The 27360-nt window shown below is 49.5% G+C and overlaps 1 protein-coding gene across 3 annotated transcripts in view, besides 2 other annotated features; it reads right to left on the bottom strand.

Moving 5' to 3' along the window:
• The window catches only part of CUX2 (cut like homeobox 2), a 316390-nt gene that overhangs the window by 279643 nt on the left and 9387 nt on the right, over positions 1–27360 (bottom strand). The gene's annotated exons all lie outside the window — the stretch shown is intronic.
• Positions 9852–10354: an enhancer, noted in NCBI's record as "H3K4me1 hESC enhancer chr12:111498362-111498864 (GRCh37/hg19 assembly coordinates)". NCBI's record gives its function as "activates a minimal SCP1, AML or CMV promoter by ChIP-STARR-seq in naive H9 embryonic stem cells {active_cell/tissue: H9 hESC(naive)}" and the evidence as "EXISTENCE:reporter gene assay evidence [ECO:0000049][PMID:30033119]".
• Positions 12464–13319: an enhancer, noted in NCBI's record as "VISTA enhancer hs611". NCBI's record gives its function as "enhancer in: hindbrain (rhombencephalon)[8/8] | forebrain[8/8]" and the evidence as "EXISTENCE:transgenic organism evidence [ECO:0001131][PMID:17130149]".

Below are 27360 nucleotides of genomic sequence, written 5' to 3'. Positions count from 1 at the left end.
TCTTAAATGCAGGTTGTTAAGTGAAAAAAGCCAATCTGAAAAGGCTACATACTGTATGATTCCAACTATATGGAATTCTGGAAAAGGCAAAACTATGGAGACAGTAAGAGGGTCACTGGTGTCCAGAGGTTGGAGGGAGCAGGGAGGGATGAAGTAGTAGAGCACGGATGATTTTTAGGGCAGCAAAAATCCTAGGTATGATACTATGATGGCAGATATATGTCATTATACACTTGTCCAAGCCCATAGAACATACCACACCAAGAATGAATCCTAATGTAAACTACAGACTCTGGGTAATGATGTGTCAATGTACATTGATTTGTAACAAATGTACGATTCTGGTGGGAGATGCTGATAATGGGGGAGGCTATGCACATATTGGGGCAGAGAGGATACGGCAACTCTCGATTTTGTTGTGAACCTAAAACTGCTGTAAAGAAAATCTTGAAAAAGAAGGAAGGAAGGAAGGAAGGAAGGAAGGAAGGAAGGAAGGAAGGAAGGAAGGAAGGAAGGAAAGAAGGAAGGAAGGAAGAAGGGAGGGAGGGAGGGAGAGAGGGAAGGGAGGAAGGGAAGGAAGGAAGGGAGAGAGGGAGGACAAACCCATAGATAGTGTTAACAACGGTTTTATTTCTTGTGTGGCCCTAGAAGGTTGTCCAGAGACCCCCACTTGCTGAAGCTGGGCAGGATGTCTTCAGGCACACCCATTCCCTTCTCCCACTCCCTGGATATCTGAGACTCTGGCTCCCTACGCCTCCATGGCTGCTGTGGGCAGTTCAGAGACTTACAAACTCCTTGTAAGACCAGGCAGAGCATGGAGGTGTGTGCCTAGGCCTCAAGTCAGGGAAGGCAGCCAAGCTCTGCGGCCAGGAGCTCCCAGGCCGGCATCCCCCATGCAGCGACCCTCCCATCCTCATCACAGGAGCTGGGCCCTGGGGCTGTCTAAAGCCATGCTCTAGGGTCCTGTAGAGACTGAAGCCCACACAGGTATCATCTAGAAGCACACCTAGGCATGGTGACTTTTTTATTAGGAGCTGAACTCCCGCCTCCCCAACTGAAGTCCTAACCCCCAGGACTTCAGAATGTGTGTTTGGAGACTGTATTTGGAGCAGGGCCTTTAAAGATGTATTTAAGGTAAAAATGAGATCATGACAGTGGGCCCTAATTCAATCTGATGGGTGTCCTTCTAATAAGAGATTAAGACACAGACATGCCCAGGGTATGACCATGTGAAGACACAGGGAGAAGACAGGCATCTATAAGCCAATAAGAGAGGCCTCAGAAAGAACCTGCTGAAACCTTGATCTCAAACTTCTAACCTCCAGAGCTATGAGAAAATAACACACACACACGCGCGCGCACACACACACACACACACACACACACACACAGAGCAAGGCTTTGTTTATGGCCAGCCTTAGGATGGAGGGGTTGCTGACTGAGGGTTTACAGAGAGGTGATGCTTTAAGCTGGGCCCTGATGGATGAACAGGAGTCCACTGGACAGACGAAGTATGGAAAGTTACTGTGGGCAAGGGGAAGAGCACGGAAGAGGGAGAAAATACTGCCCTTCAGAGCTGTGCTAACTTTAATATGGCAGCACATGGGCTGAGAGGAAGGGTCAGCCAGGGTGAACCTGGAGAAGTGAGCACTTACTATGTATTGGGCTCCGTGCTAAGGAAGTAATTTTCCCATACTGTCTTCACTAAACCTAACAACCCCATTCTTCAGATAGGAAAACTGAGGCTCAGAGATTTGAACCCAGACCCATTCTGACTCCAGGGCCACATTCCTTTTTTTCTTTCTTTTAGACCGAGTCTTGCTCTGTCACCAGGCTGGAATGCAGAGGTGCGATCTACGGACACTGCAACCTTACCTTCCTGGGTTCAAGCAATTCTCCTGCCTCAGCCTCCCGAGTAGCTGAGATTACAGGTACAGGCCACCCAGTCCGGCTATTTTTTGTATTATTAGTAGAGATGGGGTTTCACCATGTTGGCCAGGCTGGTCTCGAACTCCTGACCTCAAATGATCCACCCGCCTCGGCCTCCCAAAGTGCTGGGATGACAGGCATGAGCCACCAAACCCTGCCCAGGGCCACATTCTTAACCATGAGATTTTCCCCTCCTGTCCAACAGGAGGGCCATGGGGGCATTACCGGCACCCCGTCTCCTCTCCTCTCAGGGTGCAAACAGCCCCTGACATGGGCACACGAATCAGGGAAGAAGGGGGCGGAGTTGAACCACGCAAGGCAGAGCAGGTGAGCTACAAAGGCACTGCTGCAGGGCCCTGCCGGGAACACAGGAGAAAACACCAGCTGCTCAAACCAGCATCGCTTTTCATCTCCTCAGAAAATGGATGCGCTCCTGGGTCCCCGGAGAGCCCAGAGTTTGGGCTGAAGGCTTTCTGGAAAAAAATAAAAAAGCTCACTGTTGCAGGCGTCTCCACAGTCACCCCGGGTGACGCCTGACACTTCACCGCAGCACTCGCTGACAAGCGTCTTCAAAGGACAGAAATCGGCCGGCTGGCTGGCTTTTCATACAGATGTCATTCATCCACAGGAAGCACTTTTCCCTGTGCATTGTGAGAGTTATTTTGGTTCGAGGAAGCCAACCCCAGAGCAAATCCAAGAAAGAAAGAAAAGGAAGAGGGAAAGTGGGGAGGGCAACTCCGGCAAAATTAGAAAAAGTGGCATTTGGGTAAACTGCACACAAAACAATCTTTTCCAAGATGATCTTTTTTTGAGATCAAAGATAAAGCGGGGAGAACTATGCAGAACGAAGCAGGTGTGGTGGGCTTGGGGACACGGGAGGGACTTCGCCAGGCTCTGCAGGCCACTTTTTAAAAGTGGGCAAAAGCCATTCCCTGCTGGACTAGGGTATGATCGGTGGGGAGGGCAGGTAACTCTTGCTAGAGGGGTCGTGATGGGCTGCCCTGAAAAGAATCTGAGGCAGGGGGTGGAACTATTCCACATCTGCTGAAGCTCTGCGCGGGACCTTATTTCTCAGGGTGGTTCAGTGACACGAACATGGCCATGTCACTGCCCAAATGTTCCTTCTTCTGGGATACTCAAATCCCAAGGGTGGTGGAGTTCTGCCCAGGCCTGTGTCCTGGCACACCCTATGGCCTCCCTCTGTCCCCTTGTTCTCCACATGATGTTCTTCAAACAACAGGGTACATCCTGCACCAGACCCGCCTATCAACACCAGGCCAGGTTGGCAGACATGACTTGTGTCTGATTCACCTTTGGAGAATTTTGGTCACACAGAATGGAGTGGCCAAGAGTTCCCGGAACCTTCCATGGGGAGACATGTTTTGGGGGTGTTTCTGATTGTAGGTGGCAGAAACTCGGTCTGAACAAGCTTAAACAACCAAATACACAAATAAAAACATGGGTTGGGCTCCTGTAATCAAACGATAAAGAGAGAGAATGCCCTCAGGATGATTCAAATCAGGACTCTGTCTCTTAGCCTCTCCCTGCAGGCTGGTTTCACTCTGTCCCCATGAAATTGTCTGAAACCCTGCCTCCAGGCGGCTCTAGACTTCCTTCCTTCAGGCTTCCTTCCTTTCTTCCTTCCCACGTCTCAGCTATAGGGACAACAGAGACCTGCTCCAGCTGAAAAGTACCAGAGAATTCTGATTGGCCCAGCTTAAGTCATGTGACTCTCTGGTGGTCCAATCACTGTAGCCAGAGGGATGGCATACTATGACTGGCAGCTTCCCTGTCTTCCTGGGTTGAGTCACATGACTGTGTAGAGGTGGAAAGCATGAAGAAAGGTCACTACAGGAATAGTGGTGGGGTGCAGGGCTGCTACCCCAAGTTGTATCTGTGACACGATGGCCTCTGGAGCACCCAAGGGCCAGTCCACCTCCCCAGCCTGACTTCTCCAAGTCGGTTATCATGAGAAACAGACTCATAACGGCCATTCCAGTCACAAACATTCATTGGAGGTGCTCCCTGGAGGACTCACCATGTACCAGGTGCTTGGCCAAGTGCCTTCCATGAATGATCTCACTGGATCCTTAACAGCAACCCTCTGTCATCCCACCTTGCAGTTGGAGAAGCTGATGCTCAGAGAGGGGCAGAGGCTCACTCAAGATCACACAGCTTGTAAAAGGCAGAGCTGGGAGTTGAACTTGATTCCAATGGATTTTAAAGCCAGAGCTCTTCACCCTGACACCATTCTGACCCTCCTCCTTAGAGCAGTCAAGTTCCCCTAGAGCAGAGCAAGGGGATTTACATGCTGGAATACACTGACCATGGGGTGGTGTCCTCTAGCAGAGATACTTGTCACTTGTATAAAGTGAACTCCCCTCACCCCTCACCCAATGGGTGCTTAACAAACGTTGGCTGAACTGGACTCCAGCTCCAGGCAGAGGTAAGGTAGAGAGACTCCCAGGATTTGTTCAGCCTTTGGTCCCTGTGAGTGACAAAGTGGGCTCAGACCCCAGGGTAAGTGAAAAGTGTCAGGTCACCAGTGAAGCAGGAGGCTACCAGACCTTCTAAAAAGAATTCTAAAGGAGAAACTAATTTTCATTACATTGAGAGGACTTCAGTGTCCAGTAACATGGAAGACAATATAACCTGAAATGCTCCCACTATAAAACACCCAGAAATACTGGATAAGGTATACCAGCATCCCTTTAAATATATAGGTCAGTTCTGGAAAAAGTAAGAAATTCCCAAGGGCCAAAACTGAAGAGGGAACTCACTCAGACTGCTAAGTATGTGAACCAATAATTAAGTGCCCTCTGCAATAAAGGAGTGGGGCATGGGATAGATAGGTGCCCATCTTAGTACTGAAGAGGCCTTCACACTCAGCGAGTATGTGGATCAGAACACCTCTATCCACTAACACTGGAAGAAGACATGCCTTGATCTGTCTCTGCCTTGCCTCTAGTTTGGAAAACCAAAAGGTAGCTTCCCCTGAGAATGTATAACCATAATCCTGCACTCGCATGGGTTTGGAGTTCAAATTGATTGTCCCTTTGGAATTCTCAGACTTGAGTATGGATCAGAATCACCTGGGCAATTTGTTAAAATAGAAACTGCTGGGTCCCACTGCCAGGATTCCTGACTCAGGAGATCTGGGTTGGAGCTCGACAATTTGCATGTCTAACAAATTTCTTGGGGATGCTGATGCTGCTGGTCCAGGGACCACACTTTGAGAACTACTGTTCTCTGCCAAGAAATTAACTTAAAAATCATTCTCACATGGTAATACTGCTGGACATTAAGCCAAAACAAATACAAAATATTTCTATTAATAACACAGGGGTGGCTGGGTGCGGTGGCTCATGCCTATAATCCCAGCACTTTGGGAGGTCAAGGCTGGTGGATTACCTGAGGTCAGGAGTTCGAGACCAGCCTGACCAATGTGGTCAAACCCCGTCTCTACTAAAAATACAAAAACTAGCCAGGCATGGTGATGTGCACCTGTAGTCCCAGCTACTCAGGAGGCTGAGACAGGAGAATTGCTTGAACTCAGGAGAGGCGGAGTTTGCAGTGAGCCGAGATCGTGCCACTGCACTCCAGCCTGGGCAACAGAGCAAGACTCCGTCTCAAACAAACAAACCAAAAAACAAGGGTGAGCAAACAGTGACCTGTAGGCCAAATCCCATCGGCCCTGGGTCAAATCCAGCCCCACTCATTAGTTTATTTCTTGTTTATCACTGCTTTTGCACAAAGGCAGAGTTAAGTCATTGTGTTAGAGACTGTAGTCTGCAAAGTGAAAAATATTTGCTATCTGGATGACTTCTGCACTAAGGTCAATCCTGGTCACATAGAATTCACAGAGATACAAGCCTACCAAAGATGACCTCTCAATCCAAAATTACAAAACACATGGGGAACTGGTCTACCATAGATCAACAGGCAACATTAGCAGGATCACACCCAAGAACTTCAGATAATGAAATTATTATACACAGACTATAAAAACAGCAGAGAGTCAGAGTCTACATTTAGCAACTCTTAGGTCTTTAACCAGAAGGAATTATGAGGATGATATTTACTGAGTACTGTATGCCGGGCATTGGGCCCAGTGCTTTATATACTCCAAGTCCTTTCCACATGAAGCCACTCAACATTAGGTAAAAAAGACTGAGGCTCAGAGATGGGTCATTCACTTGCCCAATTTCACAGCAAATATGAGGCAGAGCCAGGATAAAACCCAGGCCTTGGGTTGAAACCCACTTCTAGGCAGTTCCAAATTCTATGCCTCACTTCCACCCCAGAGCAAGGTGCATGATAAAAGTAGGAGCTCTTAACTTGGGGTACATGGCTAGATTTGGGGGAATCTTGCAACTCCCTGAAACTACATGCAAAATGCTAAGTCTCCATCATATTTCTAAAAAGAAGATCCATAGCTTTCATCAGATTCTCAAAATCAAAGCCCTGAGATAGCCAGACTCAAATCCAGGCCTTCTCTCCATGCTAGACCAGAATCATATTAATGGTGAACATTTCTTGTGCATGATGCCAACTGACACCACTTGAATGTTATAAGCGTATGTTTAAATCCCATGATAGCCCTACGAGGAAGTTATTTTATCCCCATTTTATAGATGAGAAAACTGAGGCCACAGAGGGGTCAGGTAACTTGCCTGAAATCCCACAATTAGCAGGTGGTTGAACAGGGAACCCAGAGTCAAACCCTCTCACCTGCACACTTCTCACCTGCCACATCGCCTCCTGCTGCTGGTGGTAACCAGCTCTCTGATTCTGAATCCAATCATTTGTCTCTACAAGCTTGGAAGGCCCAGGGTCTTTCCTGCCCACTCCTAAGCCATTTGCACACGCACAAGAAACACAAGGCTCCTTCTACCTTGATTTTGAGGTAAAGCCCCTTTCTTGATCCCAACGTCCATGTCCAAAGAACATTTCCAAGGCCAGCCAGACAGGAAGCAAATATTTCCCAGAGAACATTCATTCCCCTGTCCCCACCACCTTGCCGGGTGCATGTCCAGACACCAGCTACCTACTTGGCTGGTGCCTCGCTCCTCGACAGCGTAAACACACATTTACCCAATTTTTCACAATGAGCAATATTTACTCAACAGCCCAGAATGGCTCATATGGAACTATTAAACCCCATTGCCTCCGTCTGCAGCTCGGAGTGCAATAATGAATCAGTATTTTGGAGCGATTACGATGCTAATAAGAATGTGTGAGGCACAGAATAATGCTATGCAGGGGCGGCCGCCAAATCCCCCGGACTCGCTACCTCCCTTCCTCTGGGAATTTTACCCTTCCAGGAGCCAGCCTGCCTGAGAACCCCCAGCCCCCAAGGCAGGCCCTGCTGGAGTTACTGGAGCACCAGACTGATCTAAAACGGAAGCCCACCGTATCTCAAAGTGCAGGCCCCATGAGGCCAACCTTTGCCGGGGCTGTGGGAGGCGATGGTGCCGCCTCGCGATGTCCCAAAGGCCCCAGAGCCACCTATGCTGGTTGGGACCTGGAGCTCTAGCACAGCGTCTCACATGCTCACACACGTACAGATACTGGAGGAAAAAAAATACTCATTCCCTCAGGCTGCACGCCTGGAGCAATGTTGGACTGCAGGGTGGTGGGGGGAGGGGGTGTTTGCTTGCTGTTGTTTTTTTTGGATCCTTCTCTTTTTCACAAGCCCCTAGGTAAATAATACATGGCAGAAAAGAAGCCTGTATTTGAATGTGGTGAGGACCACCCTCAACCCCCTCCTCATCTGCCCAGGGAAATTGCTTTATTCTTGTGCCAACCTTGGGAGACTGGGGAACTTTCTGGATGCCCAGGGAGGCCAGACATACAGACTTGGGCCAGAGGATGGTGGAGGCAACAGCTAAGCCTCCTTGTCTGGCCAGGTCTCCCAGCCCAGGCTCTCTGTCCTCAAACCCCTTCAATCCTCCTCCTCTTTCGTCCCCTCCCATTCATGATAACGACCTCAGCAGGGCCTACAAGCCTCATGGGACCCTGCCCTGTCCCCTGCTTCTCAGACACATCCTGCCTATCTGCCCTTCACCCTGCACTCCAGCCACACTGCCCACCTTTCACTTGCTGGAGCCAGAGGTATGGTCTCCCACCCCAGGGCCTTCGCACATCTCGCTCCTACCCTCTAACTGGACTACCATGCGCCTCCTCACTGGGCTAACTCAGGAGTCCTTCCCTGACTTCCAGACTAAAGCTGGTCCCTGTAATATGGTCTCATCATTCCTAGCTCATTTCCTCTGCAGCCCTTAGCTGGGCTTGCAACTTCAAATATGTGATTATTTGATTAATGTGGGTCTCTTCAGGGATTTGATTTCTAAACACCACAGAGACCAAAGCACCTCGAGAGCAGAGAGCATGTCTGTTTTCATCACCAGGGCATCTCCGGCACGTGGCCTGGGCCCAGGCCCACAGTAGGTGCTGAGATAAATACTTGTTGAATGGATGACTCCCCTCGCTCGAGCCGTCTCCCAGCTCTGCTTCCCTAGTGACAGCTGCCTTTTCTGTGAATGGGGCCACACAGCTTTTCAAGCCTTTTTTTACATGACATCATTTTATCTGCCATAAAATGCAATGTTCATAGTACAAGCCCCGGATAAATATTTAATCACAATAAAATGCTCGTGGACCCTCAACCAGGAGGACAGCCCTGTGCACTCCCTTTGGTGTAGATGAGAGAGCGTGTGTGAGTGTATGATACACATCTATCTCTACACAAGGTGTCCCCAACAGAAACGTGCATGCCACACAGGCAGAAAAGTACCTACATGGGAAGGTGCCACCCACATTCATTCCGCAAGGATTAAGTGAGCACCCAGTATACACTAAGCATGGCAGACCCGCCGGCGGCTATAGCAGAAGTGCTAACATGGATTGGGCACTTACTCCGTGCTAGAACAGTCCTGGGTTACATGCTTCAGGCAAATTCACTCATCTAACCCTGCCGACACTCCCTGTGAGTGAGGCTGCGAGGCGACCTATTTCACAGGCGAGGAAGCTGAGGCACAGATGGAGTGCACGCGCTGAAGTCTTATTGGCAGGGGCAGAATTTGAACTTGACTGTGCCTGACTCTAAAGCCTGGTGTTTGGCCACGAGGCGCCCCCCACATCCCTGCCTGCTGAGAACAAGGCCAAGTACATAAAACTGGAAGCACAGTGTTTCCATCACAGCAGAAAAAAGAAAACGACAAAAAACCCAGAGATACCCAGGGCCAGGGCCAGGCTGAGGGGAGAGTGACCCACTCACTTCACAGAACATCGGGCAGGTAAAACGCTTGTCCGAAAGACAGCAAAATGACGTGGAGAATGCTAATGTGGGTATAAGTGGAAAGACCGTGATGTAGAGTTGGATGTACTTAGGCGGGCAAAGCAGGACGAGGGTGTAGACAGAAACACACACCATGCCAAAGGGTGTTCTTCCAGTCTCCTTCTTCCTCTTTTCTCTATTTGTAAAGCCCTCCGATAATGGGGCGACTTTGTCTTCCATAATGCAAAATTACTTTTAAAAAGCCCTTCTTTCACTTGCAGTCGTGGGATTCCCCGAAAACCCTTCTACAGCCCATGCTTCCCTCCTCCTCCCCCATCCCGAAAAGCTTTCCTCAGTGGCTCTCCTCATTGTCCCATAGTGACTCAAACAGGAATAAAAATAGGAAGAAAGGAGAGCAAAGGATGCCATGGACTGTGGTGTGCATGGGTCCTGGGTTGTAGCTCAGAAAGCCAGGCATCCTCCTTGCTGTGTGTGTGTGTGTGTGTGTGTGTGTGTGTGTGTGTGCATATGCATGCACACATCTGGGGACAGCTTGGGCCTGCAGAGACTCACTGATCAGCGGCTGGCCTCTGCAGGGCCACAGCCATGAGGGGAGGCCTCCCATGAACAGCCCCAAGGAAGCGGGGGAGGGGGCAGCAGGGCCAGCTGGAGGTCCTGGCATCCCAAGGCTGGGAGGTGGCAGGTGTCACTGCTTCCTTTCTGAAGGCCTCACGCCCCTCCTGGAGGGACGATAACTGTGTCACATCCCTTCATCTTTGTCCCTGGCACTTGGCCTTCCAGAGGATGAAGCTGACAAGAGGGTAGAAGGAAGAGGGGGCTAAGGCTTCCGTTTCTGCTTCCCGAGGGTGACCACCATGGCCTAACTTTTTCCTTGGCCCTTAGAGAAGGGACTTTGTCTAGTCCTCACTTCCCAGAGGCTGTCAGCTCCAACAGAACCTTCCAGAGCTACAGGCTGGGCCGGGCTGGGCCTGAGGGAAAGGGAATTTGCTCGTCTCAGTATCCGCAAACCAGATAGAACCCCTGCTTCCTACTGGGTTCCAGCAAGTTCAGGAGTGAGATCCCTGCTTCCCAAAACTCTGGCCCATCCATGGGCATTTATTGAGCCTCTAATATGTGCCAAACTCTGTGCTTGTGACAAGAGTCAAGAAGACAGATACAAATGCTGCCCTCATGGGTCTTAAAAAGACTAGCCAAGGAACTCCAATCAATTATGATGTGCATTATTATGGGGGAGCCCCCTAATCCAGCCAGGAGGTTCAGGAGAGCCTCCCAGATCAGACACGAAAGATGAGAGAAGTGTGTCTGTTTGTACGGTGATTTTAAAAAGGGAGTTCCAGGCAGGGAGACCAGGATATGCCAAGTCTGGATGTAAGACAGCGTAAGGCATTTGAGGGCTGGGTAATAATTTAACCCTGGCTGGGGGATTTGGGGACGAGGAAGTTTATAAGAGATGACATGGTGGGATTGGATGAGGGTGAGGGGAGGTGCTCACGACCAGCCTCATAAGGTAGAAGTTTGGACTTTGTCCCATAAACAATAGGGAGCCACTGAAAGCTTTTCAGTTGGGGAGAGGGTGTGGGGTCATGATTCGGTTTCAATAAAGATCTCTCACAGCAGAGTTCAGGGTCCAAAACTCTTGGTTTTAACCAAGAGAATCAACAAAGGACACTGCCACAAGACCTAACAGAAGTCACTGCCACCTCCCTGCCATGATTTCCCGGGAGTGATTCTAAATGGAGCCCTGGACCTGCTGGAAAGACCATGTGAGTCAGGATCCCAAGGTCGGGGGCAGGGAAGGGGGCTTCCCCAGAAGTCAGGCTTAAGTCTGGTAGGGGTAAGCTGGGGAGAAAGGGGCCCATGCTCTCCCCAACACCTCCCTCACTGCCCCCACCCTCGGCATCCCAGCCAGGACTGAGGACCCCCCACGACCACCTTCTCCTTGGTAGCACCCCTTCCACATCACCCTCCCCTCCTCCTATATCTAAGGGGCTCTATCTTTAGAAAACAATCCCACCTCCTCACCATAGCCCTCAAGGTGATCTGGCTCCTGCCACCCTGCCCCCACTTCATCTCCCACCTCCCCACCTCTAGGATACAGAAAGCTGACCCTGGGTGGGGGGACCTAGGAAAGTCAGAAGAGTCACGTGCCCCATTTGGAAGGTGAGGGAAACTGAGGCATCAATGGGGCCCTCATAGAAAACAAAATGGTCCAGGAATCAGGCAGTAGTCCTGCTCCCCTCACTGGGAGTTGGCCTGGCTATCTCTGCCAAGAAGCCCCTCGCTGGGGCCAGGGGCACCTAGCCTTATCAAGAACATTTGGGCGATATGGTTATTTCTACCCAGTTTGCTCCGTGTGGAGTCTGCACATTTTTTCAGAGACTGGGCCCAATTCCAGAATGGAAATGTAGCCCTCCTCCCCTCCCACCTCCCCGAGAAGCCCTGCAAAGAGGGGCCCCCTCCAGCTGACCAGTGTGGCAGGTGCCACTGTCAGAGACATTTGAACCAGAGCGACTCCATTTTGAGTGAGGGCTGGAAAATGAGGCTGGTACCTGCTGGGCTGCATCCTCAGAAAGTTCAGCATTCCGAGCCTCTAGATGTTTACGGTTAAGGGAACAAATTAATAATGTTTACTAAACACACCCAGACTTGGGAGTGTCCAGATATCCCAATATTTGGAGAACAAAGGGATTCCTAATTTTGCTTTAAAGATAACAATATTGATTATTGCAAAATATAGTAATTAAGAAAATTAATCCTTTATCACAAACCCTTGTCACAGAGCATATCTCCCCATATATATGAGTATTGTACCTAGGGTGGATGTGTTCCTCCTCTTATTTTCAGGAATGTCCTACTCTGTCTATGGAGTAGCTGTTCTTTCACCATTTTACTTTCTTAATAAACTTGCTTTTACTTTGCACTGCGGTCTCTCCCTGAATTCTTTCTTGCGTGAGATCTTGGGGTCTCGCTCGGGACCCCCTTCCTGTAACACCACTATCTGCAAGGGTGCACTAAAACGTCTCCTTGGGCCCCACCCTTTCAGCCACCCTCCAGCTTCTCCTGTATCTGAGATGAGAGAATTGCTCCCTCTCTGTCTCTCTCTCTGTCTGTCTGTCTCTCTCTCTCTCTCTCTGTCTCTCTCTCTCTGTGTCTCTTCAGTGTTCTCCCTTCCTCCCCAGCCAGGGAAATGGAGGTAAAAATCTCCCAAGATCCCCAATTTAAAGTAAAGTCAGATCTTTCTCTCTTCCCTTTCCTCACTACCTAATAATCACACTTGTGTGAAGTTGATGCTCTACATAACGAAGAGAGAGGCCTCCTTGGAGAGGGTACAATCAGACAATTTTTAAGATCATGGAGCATTAGACCATTCCCAACTGGGTTTACTAATCAAACAGCCAAATCCTTCATAACCAGCCAATCCCTACAGGGCAATTAAATCCTTCCCCTTTAAAACACTTGCCACACTGTCTGGGGACAGAAAGAAAAATTTGCAAAATTCATTTGATAAATTAGCCAGGGAAAAGAAAGGAGTGAATCAAGCTTTGTTCTTTTCATTTTTTTTAATTATGGAATTCACAATGCCTGAATAATGTTTAATAAGAACTATGAAAATTCCTAACAGTATTACAACACAACACAAAAGAATTAACCTGGTTACCGTGAAAAATTGCATATTTAATTAAGAACAGAGAGTTCAAAACTATCCAGAGATTTCAAAAGTGCTGTTGCCTGAGGGGCCAAATTACATGCTTCCAGGGCTGCTAACGGAGTTAGCGCGTTCAGTCATTACCCAGGCGTCCCCATTAAGTGACTCTGGGCAGATGACATCAAATTCATTTCAAAAGCACCAGGAACTGAAGCATTCACTTGGGTAGTTTAAGGGAAAGCAACTATCCTGCTGGTAGAAATCAGACCCCTTGTTGATAAAGGCAATAATTAAAGAATAATGTTAATTAGCTGCTTTTATTTGAAGAAAAGTACGGTAGTTGGAGTGCTTCCAGGCTGTTGAGGTGGGAGTCACTCTTTCTGGCAGAAGGGGAGGCTGCTGGCAGAAGTGGGGAGCGAGGGGCCCACAGGAAGACAGGAAGATGGTGGAGGCTAGGGCAGGGAGAAAGATGGGGCCCGTGTAAGGAGGTCTGGGTCCCCACGTTGGAATCGGCCTGGTCACCCTGAGGCCCTCAAGAGGGCAGCTTGGAAAGCAAGGAAAGGTGGTGCTGTCAGCATCTAGGGCCCTGTCACTGGCAGGCCCACTTCCATCATGGCAGACAAAGCCAGATCTCCAGTGGCCACTTCCTGTCACACCCACTCCACTCCACTCACATAGCCGTCTCTGTCCCACTAACTTCCCTCACATAATCTCCTGCCACACCCATTGCCCTCACACAGCTTCCTGTAACATCCACTCCAGCTTGGTAACTTCCTGTCATACTGACTCCCCCACACAATTTCTTGTCACACTTACTTGCTACTGGGCCACTTCCTATCACACCCACTGCAGCTCAGGCCATTTCCTGTCATACTCACTCTCGTCACACAACCTCCCGTCACAACCATTGCAGCTTGGCCATTTTCTGTCACACTCACTCCCTACTTGGCCACTTCCTGTCACACTCCCCCACACAATCTCCTGTCACACTGAATTCCCTCACACAACCTCTTGTCACAACCATTCCAGCTTGGCCACCGCTTGTTACACTCTGTCCCCCACACATCCTCCTGTCACACCCACTCCCTACTTGGCTACTTCCTGTCACACCAACTCACCTCACACAACCTCCTGTCACATCTACTCTCCTGCTCAGCCACTTCCTGCCGCACTGGCTCCCTTTACAGCCTGTCACAACCAGCCTGAGTCACCTGAATCACCACCACCATCGCCCTCACTGTAGCCAACTGTCTTTTCTAAAGATGGCTGCCATAATATCCCTCGCCACCAAGGCTTCCTGCAAGGTGACCTTGACACTCCTTCCACCCAGTGGTGGGATCTACGTCCTCCTCCCTTTGAACCTGGGCCCACCTTTGTTACTGCCCCAATCAGCAGAGTAGATGGAAGTGATACTAGCAACTTGCAAGGCAAGAGCATGAAAACACCTGCACTTCCACCTGGCTCTCTCAGGATGTTGCCTCTCGGAACCCAGCCACCATGCTGTGAGGAAGCCCAAAGGAGAACACACAGAGAGACCCTGCAGAGAGGCCATAAACTGGGGTTCCCACAGGTAGCTGAGGTTCCAGCCAACAGCCAGCATCAATTGCCAGATGTGGGAGTTGTCAAATTACCCGCAAATGTTGAATCTGCCCAGATGAAGCCACAGCTATCATGGAGTGGGGACAAGCTGAACCAACTGGGCTCCGTCCTAATTCCAGCCCACAGAATCAGGTATACAAGAGTTGTTTCTGTCCACTAAGTTTGGGGTGGCTTGCTACCCAGCAACAAATGACTGCTGCGTTTACAGAGACACATGCAGTCACACATGTTAAGAACAGTCCTCGTCTCTAGCATCCTCCTTCCCTGACAGATCCATCCAAGAGGCCGGCATGAGAAACGCATCCATGGATCTGTCCACCAGTGACAAGAACACCCAAAGAAAGCCACAATTGGCCTCCGCCTTTTGCCTCGGATCTCAACAGCCCCCGAGGTCTCCAGGGGCATAGCAAACAATCTAGCTATGGAGGGGAAAGAACGCAGGAAGCCCCATGTTACAGAAGATAACACTGAGAGCCACGCAGCTAAGTGGCCTGCTCAGGACCATGGCTGCTTCACGGCAGAGCTAGGCTGCGATCAGCCCGACTCCCAGCGAAGTGGTTTGATTCTCATTAGCAAGGTGCCTAATTAGGGCAGCTCATCAATACATCCCACAGAAACAAATTATCCTCTGGCTCAAGCCTACTTACCTGTAGGGAGGCTGGGCCAGCCCCAACCTTCTAGGGGTGCCATCCTGGGCAGGGGACAGGAAACGTGCGCCGATGGGACCGCTGGGGCAGTCGGGCAAGCTCCGGGGGCTGGGGGAAGGGGGGCTGCCTTCCTCAGGTGCCCCACCTTGGGGGCCAGGCGGGAGGCAGGAGCTGGGCCTTGGTTTCTCTCCTCGCCCCCTCCAGGGAGGCAGACGGCCTCAGCAGGCCTCACCCACTGTGATATGCCAAGATGCTCTGCTCTGCTCAGAGAATAATTTTTTTCCAGAGATGAATTTCACAAAGTAGGCCAAGGGCCGTGGGACCAACCCCCTTGCTTGCAGAGGCTGAAGAGGATATCCTCCGAGGGCCGGGGCCGCCTCATTGCGACTTCCAGGCTGCTGGCCCGAGGGTCCCAGGGTCCAGCTACCCCAGGATAGGAAGGACAGGAAATTGGCCTAGTCCCCCAGTGTATGCTGCTATGGTGACCAGCTCTGACGGTGGCCTCTGGGACTCTGACATCCCTGATGCTTGTCCCAGTAATTTGGGCCCAGGCCCCGACTCCTGCCAGACAACATGGTCCACCAAGAGCCACCCATCATCACATTAGACCTTTATGAGGCCAATCTGCACATACAGCAGCTTCTGGGGAGAAAAGAGGGAACCTGGACATGTAGTAGCCCTGTCCCAATGATACACAGTCTCTGCTTTGCATAGTAAAGAGAAATAACAAGAGACAGGAGAGCGTACGAACATGGACTGTGGAGTCAGACTGCCTGGCTCTGCTGTGTGGCCTTGCACAAGTCACTTAACCTTTCTGTGCCTCAGCTTCCTCCTCTGCAAAATGGGAATATTAAGAGTGTCTAGGGCCGGGTGTGGTGGCTCATGCCTGTAATCCCAGCACTTTGGGAGGCTGAGGGAGGTGGATCGCCTGAGGTCAGGAGTTCAAGACCAGCCTGGCCAACATGGTGAAACTTCGTCTCTACTAAAAATACAAAAATTAGGCGGGCGTGGTGGTGTGCGCCTGTAATCCTAGCTACTCAGGAGGCTGATGTGAGAGAATCTCTTGAACCCGGGAGGCAGAGGCTGCCGTGAGCCAAGATCACACCACTGCACTCCAGCCTCAGTGACAGAGTGAGACTCCATCTCAAAAAAGAATGTCTACAGCATAGAATTGTGATGGGAATTAAACCACTAAATGATGGTATTTAGAAAGTACTTAGAGTCACATAAGCCACCCTTGGCAAGTGCTTGTTAAACTAGAAATAAATAAAAATAAAATTTAAAAAAATTTAAAAAGCTCTTCTGAGCTGCTCTCATTGCTGAAAGGTCATGTAAATTCTGCCCATTATCTGGAATGGCTATACTGAGGCCAGAGAAGGCAGAGTCACCTCCACACCAGTCACAAAGTTGGCACAGCTAATGCCTAGGGTGAGGTTGCTATTATAACTCACACGCTTATATGAGGGCCACACTGAAAGCTGCACAGGGAGGCCTGGGCTCAGCAGAGGTTTTGCAAAATGGGAAACCCACACCCCCAGAACCCAGCCCTGTGTGAAATGCAGGCCCGGGGACGCCAGCTCTCACACTGAAGAGAAAGCCAGGAATCTGTTTTTTGTTTTTGTTTTTGTTTTTGTTTTGAGATGGAGTCTTGTTCTGTCACCCAGGCTGGAGTGCAGTGGCGCGATCTCGGTTCATTGCAGCCTCCACCTCCTGGGTTCAAGCAATTCTCCTGCCTCAGCCTCCTGAGTAGCTGGGATTACAGGCGTGTGCCACCATGCCTGGCTAATTTTTGTATTTTTAGTAGAGACAGGTTTCACCACATTGGCCAGGCTGGTCTCGAACTCCTGACCTCAGATGATCCACCCGCCGTGGCCTCCCAAAGCGTTAGGATTACAGGCGTGAGCCACTGCGCCCAGCTCTGAGTTTTTAAAAGGTAACCTCTGATCAGGCCACCAGGCATTCAATGTTTACCAATCACCATGCCAAGTACTGTAGCTTTAATGTATGGTAATGAGTTCACCGTCTGATACGGGAGACCAACAAGGAACTGGGGAATCATCTGGAAACATGGAAAGCAGCCCAGGCCAGGGATGTCCAAGTGAGACCTAAAAGAAGACATCCAACCCAGCGCAGAGTCAGGGAAAGAGGGCCAGGGCCCACGAAGAGCAATGTGAATGGTGTTCCAGGCAGAGGAAACAGAAAATGCAATGCTGGGAAGTGTGAGGAGTATGGAGGATGTAGAAGCGGAGATAGTGAGACAGAATGCTAAGGATGGAGACTATGGAAGTACGTGGCAGATTCATAGAATACTCTTGGGGCTAAATCCCATCTCTGCTGGGGAAATGCTGTGTGTCCATGGGAGGCCTCTGAACATCTCAGCATTAAGTGGGTTAGGATTTTGCTTTCACTAGAGCCCTTGGATGGCCCCAGAGATGACACTGGGAAAGGGCCCCCTTGAAGGAAGAGCGTTTCTTGTCATTAGTGGGACTTAGTGGAAAATCACTCTCCCACTGCTGGGGCAAGAGCCACCGGGGAGCAAGCACGAGAAACAAAATCACATTTCTGGAGCCCCTGGTATGTGCCAGGCGCCGTGCTGGGCCCTGCATGTACAGGCGCTCATTTCCTCCATGTGGAGATGCTATGAGGGGATTATTTTTGCTATCCCCATTTTGCAGATGAGAAAACTGAGGCACTGAGCAGTCCTCTGGCGGCCTCATGTATCTGGCAAGAGCAGAGCCAGTCTGTTCGGCAATAACCCTGCTTTGCCCCTGCACCTAGCTACCCGTCTGGGGTTTTCCCCTCAAAGGGATGAAGGTGGGGGTGGGGGAGCTTCAGCAGGTACAGCAGGCAATCCTGGGGAGGCAGTGCCTGCCACTGGCCCCACATGCCCGTGTCACCTCCATCACAGTGAGATCAACTCTGCAGTGGCCATGCTTAGCTTTGGGGAAGTCATTAAATGCCACACCAAACTAGACAGAATACAATTGCATGGCAAGGAGATGTTGAAAGAAGTTCTGCCTGGGAGCATGAGCACACAAACACATACACAGACATACTAAGGTGCACAAATAAACAAAGACACGCACTGACACACACACACAGATCCCCACATGTGGATGCAGATACACAGGCACACATTCAGAGACATACTCAGAAAAACACAGATACAAAGACACACACACAGAAACACACTAAGATACACATACAAGGACACAGACACAAAAATTAAAAGACCCACAAACACACTCAAAGATATGTACCCACAAAGATGCAGACATACACACGTAAGTATACAAATACACTCACATTACACTCACATCACACTCACATCCATCCCTGTTTGTTCATTTGACTGATTTTTTTTTTTTTTGAGGGCCTACTATGTGCTCTGCCCTCTGCTGCTCAGTTCTGGGGACAAGCTGCTCTATACCCTCATGGTGATGACAATCCACAGAGGGAGGCCGGTGTTCATCAGTAACCCACAGAGCTATGTCTGACACCTGCTATGGTAAGTGCTGTAAAGTTGGGGTGCACAGCCTCATGGGGCCATACAAGGTGGAGCAGGCAGCTGCCCCAAGGAAGTGATATTGAGTAAGCTCCAAGGATCTGGGAGGAGTTGATGGGAAGAAGTATGGGAAGAGTGTCGCAGGCAGAGAGAGCAGGTCACCCATGGGGGCTATGGTGCCGGGGAAACAAAGAAGACACGTGTGACTGGAACATGGCGAGCATAGGGAATGTGGCTCAGGATCAAGAACAGAGGGCGCATGTACAATTATAATGTGTCCATTAAAAAAGAATGAAAGGCATGCTGAAATTACACTGCTATAAATCTGAACTTGATTCCTATAAGTTACAATATATATGGTAAACCCTAGCACAAACCACTAAGAAAATCCTCAAGTAATATAGTTAAAAAAAAAACCTCACTAATTAAAATGCTACATTAGAGAATATTCACTCAATGCAAAAGAAAGTAGTAAAAGAGAAATAGAGGAACAAAAAGATATAGAAAACAAAAAGCAAAATGGCAGACATAAATTCTACCATAGCAATAATAACATTAAATATGAATGGATTAAACAATCCAATCAAAGAGCAGAGTTTTTCAGACTGAATAAAAAACATGATCCAACTATATGTTGTCTATAGGAGACACGCTTTAGATTCAAAGGCATGAACAGATGGAAAATTAAAGGATACAAAAAGATATATAATGCAAACAGCCACCATAAGAAACTGGGAGTAACTATACCAATATCAGACAAAATAGACTCTAAAACAAAACAAAAAAAAAAAGTTACTAGGGAAAGAAGGACCTTTGCTAAATAAAAGGGCCAATCTGTCAGGAAGAGATAACAATTATAAATGTATATATGCACCTAATAGAACACTAAAATATATGAAGCAAAAATTGACAGAAATGGAGAAATAGACAATTTAACAACAGTTGGAGACTTCAACACCCCACTTTCAACAGTGCAAAGAACAACTAGACAGAAAATCAACAAGAAAATAGAAGACTTGAACGACACTATAAACCAAGAACAGAGGGCAGTGACCAGTCCATGCTGAGCATGGAAGGTTAGTTACATTGAGGCTTTCACCTCAAAGGCAATGGAGGGCCATTGGAAATGGTACTTTTTAAAACAAAATGCATTTTTAATTGATACATAATATTTGTATATATTTATGAGATACATGTAATATTTCGTTACATGCATAGAATGTGTAATGACCAAGTCAGGGTATTTAGGATATCCATCACCCAGGTACTGGAAACATTCCAAGTCCTCTCTTCTAGCAATTTTAAAATACACAATACACTGCTGTTAACTATAGTCACCCTGCTCTGCTATCAAACATTAGAATGTATTCCTTCTATCTAATTGTATGTTTGTACCCATTAACCAACCTCTCTTCATCGTCCCCTAGAAATTCTTCTTCCTAAACTTCTATTAAAAAATTCTTAACAAGTTTTTAATAACCTCACTTGCTGCTGTGGTCAAAAGAGTGGAGAAGCCAGAGTCAGCAAAGGAAGAAATTAGGAGACCAAAGTCCAGCGGGAGAGGCAATGGGGGCATGGGTCCAAGTGACGATGGTGGAGATGGAGGTAGGAGATGGGATGCAGGAGGTATCTAGGAGGTAAATCCCCAGGATTTAGTGATGAACTGGACATAGGGGGCATACAGGAGAGGGAGGTAATCAGGGTAGCTCCCAGGTTTCTGTCCTGTAGACCCGGATGGAGCCATCCCTAAGATGAAGACCCTACAATGGAGAGAAAATTAGGTTTTGAACGTCTTGACCTGGAGACATCTTTGAGACAGACATTCAAGAAAAGTCAAATAAAGTGGCTTAAAAAGAAAGACAGAAATGTCAAGAAGGCTATTGTACAGAGAGGTTTGACACCCAGAGGCAGGGACTGGAGAGCTGGGAGGCAGTGATGTTGTGGATACAGATGAGGTCACACAGGGTCAGGGCACAGAGTGAGAAGAGATGGACCTTGAAAGGACCAACATAATTAGAGGCCAGCCAGAGGAGGATGGGTCTGAAAAGAAACAGGGAAGTGGCGGCAAGAGGTAGGAGGAAAATGAAGAGAATGTAGTATCAGGAGGGCCAAGAGGGGGCTCTGTGGGGGAAGCGGCAGGGTGGGTGGGAGATACAGAAATGGAGATACAGTGTGAGCCAGATGCTCTATAAATGTGGCTGAGCAGGAGAGGAGGATGTAGGTGAAGGGTTTCTCTGCCCTGCCTTCCTTCATATACCCTTTTGCCTCAGTTTCCTCCTCTGCAGAATGGGAGGTGGTCCAACAGCATAGGTGGGTGGAACCATTTCTGACAGGCTCCAAGCACCATGCAGAGGTTAGGGGCTGCTAATCTGCACTGAACAGTAAAACCAGGGAGCCCCTGTCCTAGTGGCAGACCTGATGATCTGCCTTGTCCACCTCCTTGGTCACAGACCATCCCCCTTGCCCAAAAAAGTCTCTCTCAAAAAGACCTTGCTGGGCTCCAATCTGCTACAGGACAGAGCTTGGTCCTTCCTGGGCCCATCCAGGGTTTGGTGACCATGGTTCCTGTGGTGTCTCCTTGAAGGCAGGCTGCCTTCTGAGACCACCCACCCTCTACCTAGGCTAGAGAACATCACTGAATCCAGATGGGGAAGGAGGGGAGAACTACACGTCTCAAGTCTAGAACCCTCTCCAGCAGCCCTCACCAACCTCACAGGCCTGCAGGGCCAGTGTTTGTCTCCCCTCTTGTTCCCCACAGCTCTGTGTACAGCCTCTGATTACTGTGCTAATTATGTCATTTTGGGGTTATTTCACTACAGTTGACTCCTCCACCAATCTAAAGCATTCTTAAGAACAGGGACTGCTTTCTTTTCATCTTTACATTCCTAGTGTTGGCTGAGTAGATGTTGGATGGATGCATGCATGGAGGAAGGGATTTTTGTTGGATGCACAAATATGTGGATGGGTGGATGAGAAGGTTGCTGGGTGGCTAAGTGGATGAATGGATAGATGAATGGGTGGGTGGATGGGTGGAGGAATTCGTGGATGGGTGGATGGATGGATGGATGAATTCGTGGATGGATGAATTCATGGATGGATGGATGGATGGATGAATTCATGAATGGATGGATGGAAGGATTCATGGATGGATAGATGGATGGATTCATGGGATGGATGGATGAGTGGACAGATGGATGGATAGTTAAGATCAGTAAGAAATGGGGAAGTACAGCTGGATAAAGTGTTAGGTGGATGGATACAGTGGATGAGAGAGCAGATTTATGAATGAGTAGATAAGACAATGTTGGGTGGGTGGTGGATGAGTGGATGATGGATGATAAAGAGGTGATCCCCCAACCCCTGCTACTTCCAGTCCACAGGTGCTCATAGATTAGACAAAACTAAAAGGTGAAAAAGTTCTCTTTATTCCATACTCCAGCCCACATCCCCTGCAGTCCCCCAGGTAGACATTCAACCTCTCTTACACCTAACAGCATCCCCATATATGAAAGTCAGCACACGACCCCCTGGGACAGAATACCTGCATGTGGCCCGGGCTCTACAGCCACGCCGTCTTAGTCACCTCATCTTTTTATGGCCTTTCCTAACAAGTGGCACCTGGAAACACACTGGTAATAATGCCCACAGAGACCACTGGGCAAAGGGCCCTTCTCAGAACATAACCCAATCCCCCATGACCCTCCTTGCACCAGCTCTATGTCCAGGAGAGAAGGCGCCCCTTGCCCACTGCATGCCTGCCGCTAAAAGCCTACAAATCCACACCAGCTGGCCACTCACACAGAAAACCAGCCATACGCTTACCAAGGAAGCACAGCTCCCACCTTGCTGGGGGTACCAGGCATGTTCCCATGGCAATCTCTCCACTCCCACAATGCTGTAGAGTGCTAGTCCTCGAAACGTTTGCGTGCCCAAAGGCTTCCTGCCACGAAGAACTCCTCTCTGGGCAGAGATGACAACATCCAGTTCATCACAGATGCTGTCCTTTGCCTATTTTCCAAACGTCCCCTCCCTCCCTTCAATGTTTCCTATCAGGCTGAACCCAGCGGGAGCCAAACATAAATTGGATCTCGTTTCTCCCGTTTTAGACCCTCAGTATCTTCCCACTTCCATGATAATAGAATTCAAAGGAATCCAGCCACTACCGTGGTCTAAAAGGGCCTGCGTGAGCAGTAACCACCTCCCCCTGTGACTTCTCTCCCTCCCCTCTTCTCCCCTCTCTAGCCTCACTGGCCTCCCTTTGGTTCCAGGACTTTACAAGCTGAGTCCCACCTCAGGGCCTTTGCACAGGCTCCTCCTGGAGCTGTGAGCTCCCCTGCCTGAACTGTGCCTGCACAGCTCCTCTTCATGGTTCAGGTCTCAGCCTAAATGTCACCTACCCAGTGTGGGCCTCCATCATCACCCTAAATAAACAGGCGGCCCCTCCATGTGATTTCAGCGCTCTTTCCTCCATTCTTTCTATTTCTGTCATTACACATTTATTTGTTTAGCTTGCCCTTCCACACCCAGCAGCTGGCATTGTGCGGGGCCTATAGCACGTGCTCAAGAAATACCTGCTATTTGATGGATGAATGTCAGATTCAGAGCAAAGACTCTGGCCAGACTGTCTGGGTTCGAGTCTTGTGTGACCTTGGGCTAGTAAATGAACCTCCCTGGGCCTCAGTAGCCTCAGCTGCAAAATAGGGTGACACCAGAGCCTGCCCCAAGGGATGCTGGGAGGATTCAATGAAAGAACAAAGGTCAGGGACCATTCTCCAGCCCTAGCCCCAGCCCCAAGTCCTTGCTTCTTGGAGTCAGAGCAATGAGTATAAGGTCTGCCATGGAAAGAAAGAGCTTATAAGGTAAAAACGCGAACTGTAGAGTGTGGCTGGTACAGCCACAGAAAGGAGGGCTGGACTTGGCTTTAAAAAAAAAATCTAAAAAACTTTTTTAATAAAGGCTACAAGTCTATCTCCTTCCTTCTTTATCAACGACACGATTTATTGACCGGGGAGGCCATATTGACTAAATAAATCTTGATAATGACCACGGCAGCAATCAATACCTGCTTATTATCAGCCCCAGCCGAGAATTCCATCTCGCGGAATGCAGGCCGGACGACAGGGCGCGCCACGCGGCTCCGGGACCCAGCGGGGGCCGGGGATGGATGGCCGGGTGGTGCTCATTCTCCAGGCTGGGAGACACGCTGGGAACCGGGAGCTTTCTCTCACCTTCCCCTGACCCATGCTTCTCAGGCTTTGGGGCCCAAATCCATTTCCATGAGTTGACAGTGGCAAGGTATCTTCAGAGGTTTTTAAAAAGAACAGCAAGGGGCCGGGCGTGGTGGCTCACGCCTGCAATCCCAGCACTGTGGGAGGCCGAGGCAGGCAGATCACATGAGGTCACGAATTCAAGACCAGCCTGGCCGACGTGGTGAAACCCCGTCTCTACTGAAAATACAAAAATCAGCCAGGCGTAGTGGCACACGCTTGTAATCCCAGCTACTTAGGAGGCTGAGGCAGGCGAATTGCTTGAACCTGGGAGGCAGAGGTTGCAGTAAGCCGAGATTGCGCCACTGCACTCCAGCCTGGGCGACAGAGCCAGACTCTGTCTCAAAAAAAAATAAATAAAAATAAAGCATAAAGAGAAAAATACTGACATAGTGATTGTAGATGGGGGGACCTCGGCAGTGGCGTGAGACAGCCATCAGTCCTGGGAGGGGCAGCTTTGGCCATTAGTGAGTCCAGAGCAGGAACACGGGTGGCCAACAGCCCTGGGTCTTGGGTTCAAGTCCAGGCTGGGCCGCTTCCTGGCAATGTAGCCAGGGACTGAGCCTTCTGTGCCTCACTCTGTTCATCTGTAAAATGGGAATGGTCATCGTTTTCCCTTCATAAAGTTGCTGTGGGAATTAAAAATAAGACAATACAAAGGGCTGTGAACACTGGCTTGCATGGCAGTAAGAGTGCAGGCGCCATTTGTTAAAGAAATCCCAGGCCTGCACTGGTCTCTCCGCAAGCTGTCTTCTGAACCACAAAGCCAGGCCCAGCCTTGCTAAGCCCTGCCAAGCGGCATGCAGGGAGGCCTGACCTCCTGTCCCAAGCTTCTCTGCAAAGAGCCAGCGCACCTGGCTGCTGGCTGCTGGCTCCGGGTGGGCCGGGCTGGGAGGAAGACCCAGGTTAGATTCCTGTCCTTACAGGGTGTGGTGGGGGTTCCTGCACCTGGCTGGAGTTCAGGTGAGCTTCTCTCATCTGATACCTGAGCAGCTAATACTGCAAACGAATCTCTAGGCTCCACCCAGATTTGGGCACCACTGAGCTGAGCAGTGAGGGCCTGGAGGTGAATGACAAACAACGATGGCAATAATAATAAAGGTAATACTAGTCACTCCTGTTTACTGGGGAATGATGGTGTCCCAAGTGTGTGTTATGGGCTCTGCATCAAATCAAATATTCTCAATGTCCCTATGAGGTAGGGGCTGTGTTTCAGTCCCATTTTACAGATGAGGAAGCTGAGGCTTACAAAACTGGGGAGTTGCCGAAAGCCTCTCAGTGAGGAAGTGGCAAGACCGGGGTCTGAAGCAAGATCTGACTGCTCCGAGCCCAGCGCCCATCATTGCAGGTGCAGCTCCCAAGGCAACTGAAATTCAACAGGAAATGCCCTCCCATTTTAAGAAAGATAATAATAACAATTGCTAATAAAGATAATAAATAGCAATAATAATCACCATTAGGAAAGGCTCACAACATGCCCAGCCCTAGGCCAAGTGTCTATATGGAGCTGTCACTTTCTACTTCTCACGATCCTTGAAGAAAAGTAGTTCTACCTCCAAATGATTATGAAGTAGAAGCTTTATGAGGGCAGGACTTGGTCTGTTTTGTTCTGTGCTACACTCCCAACACCTCAGGCAGCTTGGGACACATAGCTGGGGCTGAATAATGCTCATCAAATGAATAAATGACCTGTCTCAACAAACCAGGGATGCTCCATTCTAGATAGAAAAACTGGGGCCCAGCCAAAGAAGGAAAGATGGGTCTCCCCCCGATTATAAACGAGGGGTCCCTGCGCATGGTGGGAAAGAAAGCCCTTCAACCCTGGGATCACTGTCCAGAGACCCAGGCCGCTTTCTCATGCCTGCTGGGATGATCCAGTGGGCCTGGGAATCAGTGTCAGGAATGTCAGCCGGGTCCGAGGACATTAACTGGCTGTCTTGTGTCCTGGATGACAGCCATCTCACAGGCTGTAGGGATGCTTTCAGCTCTCTATGGCTGAGGCCACCAAATCATCGCTTATGGCCTGCAGCCTTCCAGCAATTAATAAATAGATATACTAATTAGATGGGAGCTGCCTCCCAGGTTGGAACTGAGGTCACCCTAAGGCGAGACTGATGGAGCTAAAGGTAAACAAACCCTCATTCGCCACAGGCCTGAGGCCGGTGCCCAATTCCCAGCAACTTTCAAGAGCCAGTGAGGGGTGTAGCAGCCAAGGGTCCCCCAAGACTGCCCCTCAAGGTGAAGTCGAGGGGCAACTGCCCCCTACCTCATCCCTCCTGTGGATTCAGCCACCCATCAATCAAATATTTATTGAGCACTTACTATGTCCCTGCCCTCCCCAGAGAGGGAGGCAGACAGTAAACAAATGAACAAATAAATACACAAATAAATATTATCACATCAGGTGAGGCAGAGTGAGGAGAGGGGAGCTGATTTGGAAAGAGAAGTCAAGGAGGACTTCTCTGAGGAGGTGGTATTCAAGCAAAGGACCAAACTAACTGAAGGGAGGTGTTTGGAAATTGTCTCAGAGAGAGGGAACAGTAAGTGCCAAAACCCTGAAGCTGGGACCTGCTTGGCTTGTTTGAGGCACAGCAAGGAGGCCACAGGGGCTTGAATAAAGAGGGGGAGAATGACAGGGGACGGGAGGGGGATAGGATGAGGGGATCCTAAAACCTGAGGGCAAGTAAGGACAGGCAACCAGGAAAGAGACAGTGCTGGGAGTGACAGCTCCCCAGCCTCCCCCAAGACATGACAGCGACCTCAACGGAGCGTCTCCTACACCCTGAGAGCCTTATGCAGATGTCCCAATCCCATTTCTTCTTTCCTGTGGGACAAGAAACAGACTTGAAGGCAGGGTCATATGGCAAAGAGATTTGTAAGGGTCAACACCTGCACCTGCCGGAGGGAGCCAGTGTGAAGGAGAGAGGACAGAAGGACAGGAGGAAGGTTGTTTGGTTGACGGAAGCTCCTAGACTACCATGGAGTTAGCAGAGGGGTCCCGTGTGTCCCAGGTACGAGTCTGTGCCAGAATTTCTGCTGCACTCTGCCCCTGGCTGGGCCAGCTATGGGATGGATTTCCAGCGCAGCACGGGTCCTATCACGCTCCCTGAAGTCGAAGATGGGCAAGATGCATTCTCATGGAATGCCCTTTCTCCTACTACCATTTCTGTCTCGTGAGTATGTACAGGGCAACTAGGATTCAAATCCTAGCTCTACTTCTTTCTTCCTAGATATGTGTCCTTGGGCAACTTATTTCCCCTTTCAGAGGCATAGTCTTCTCATCTGGAAGATGGGTATAGCAATGGTACCTCCCGGAGTGCTGGGATTACAGGCGTGAGCCACCGCGCCTGGCTAATTCTTGTATTTTTAGTAGGGAAGGGGTTTCACCATGTTGGCCAGGCTGGTCTCAAATGCCTGACCTCAAATTATCTGCCCGCCTCATCCTCCCAAAGTGCTGGGATTACAGG

Source organism: Homo sapiens, chromosome 12 (assembly GCF_000001405.40).
Source record: "Homo sapiens chromosome 12, GRCh38.p14 Primary Assembly".
NCBI lineage: Eukaryota > Metazoa > Chordata > Mammalia > Primates > Hominidae > Homo > Homo sapiens.
Note: the sequence above shows the minus strand (reverse complement) of the source record. Positions and strands in the feature narration are given on the sequence as shown.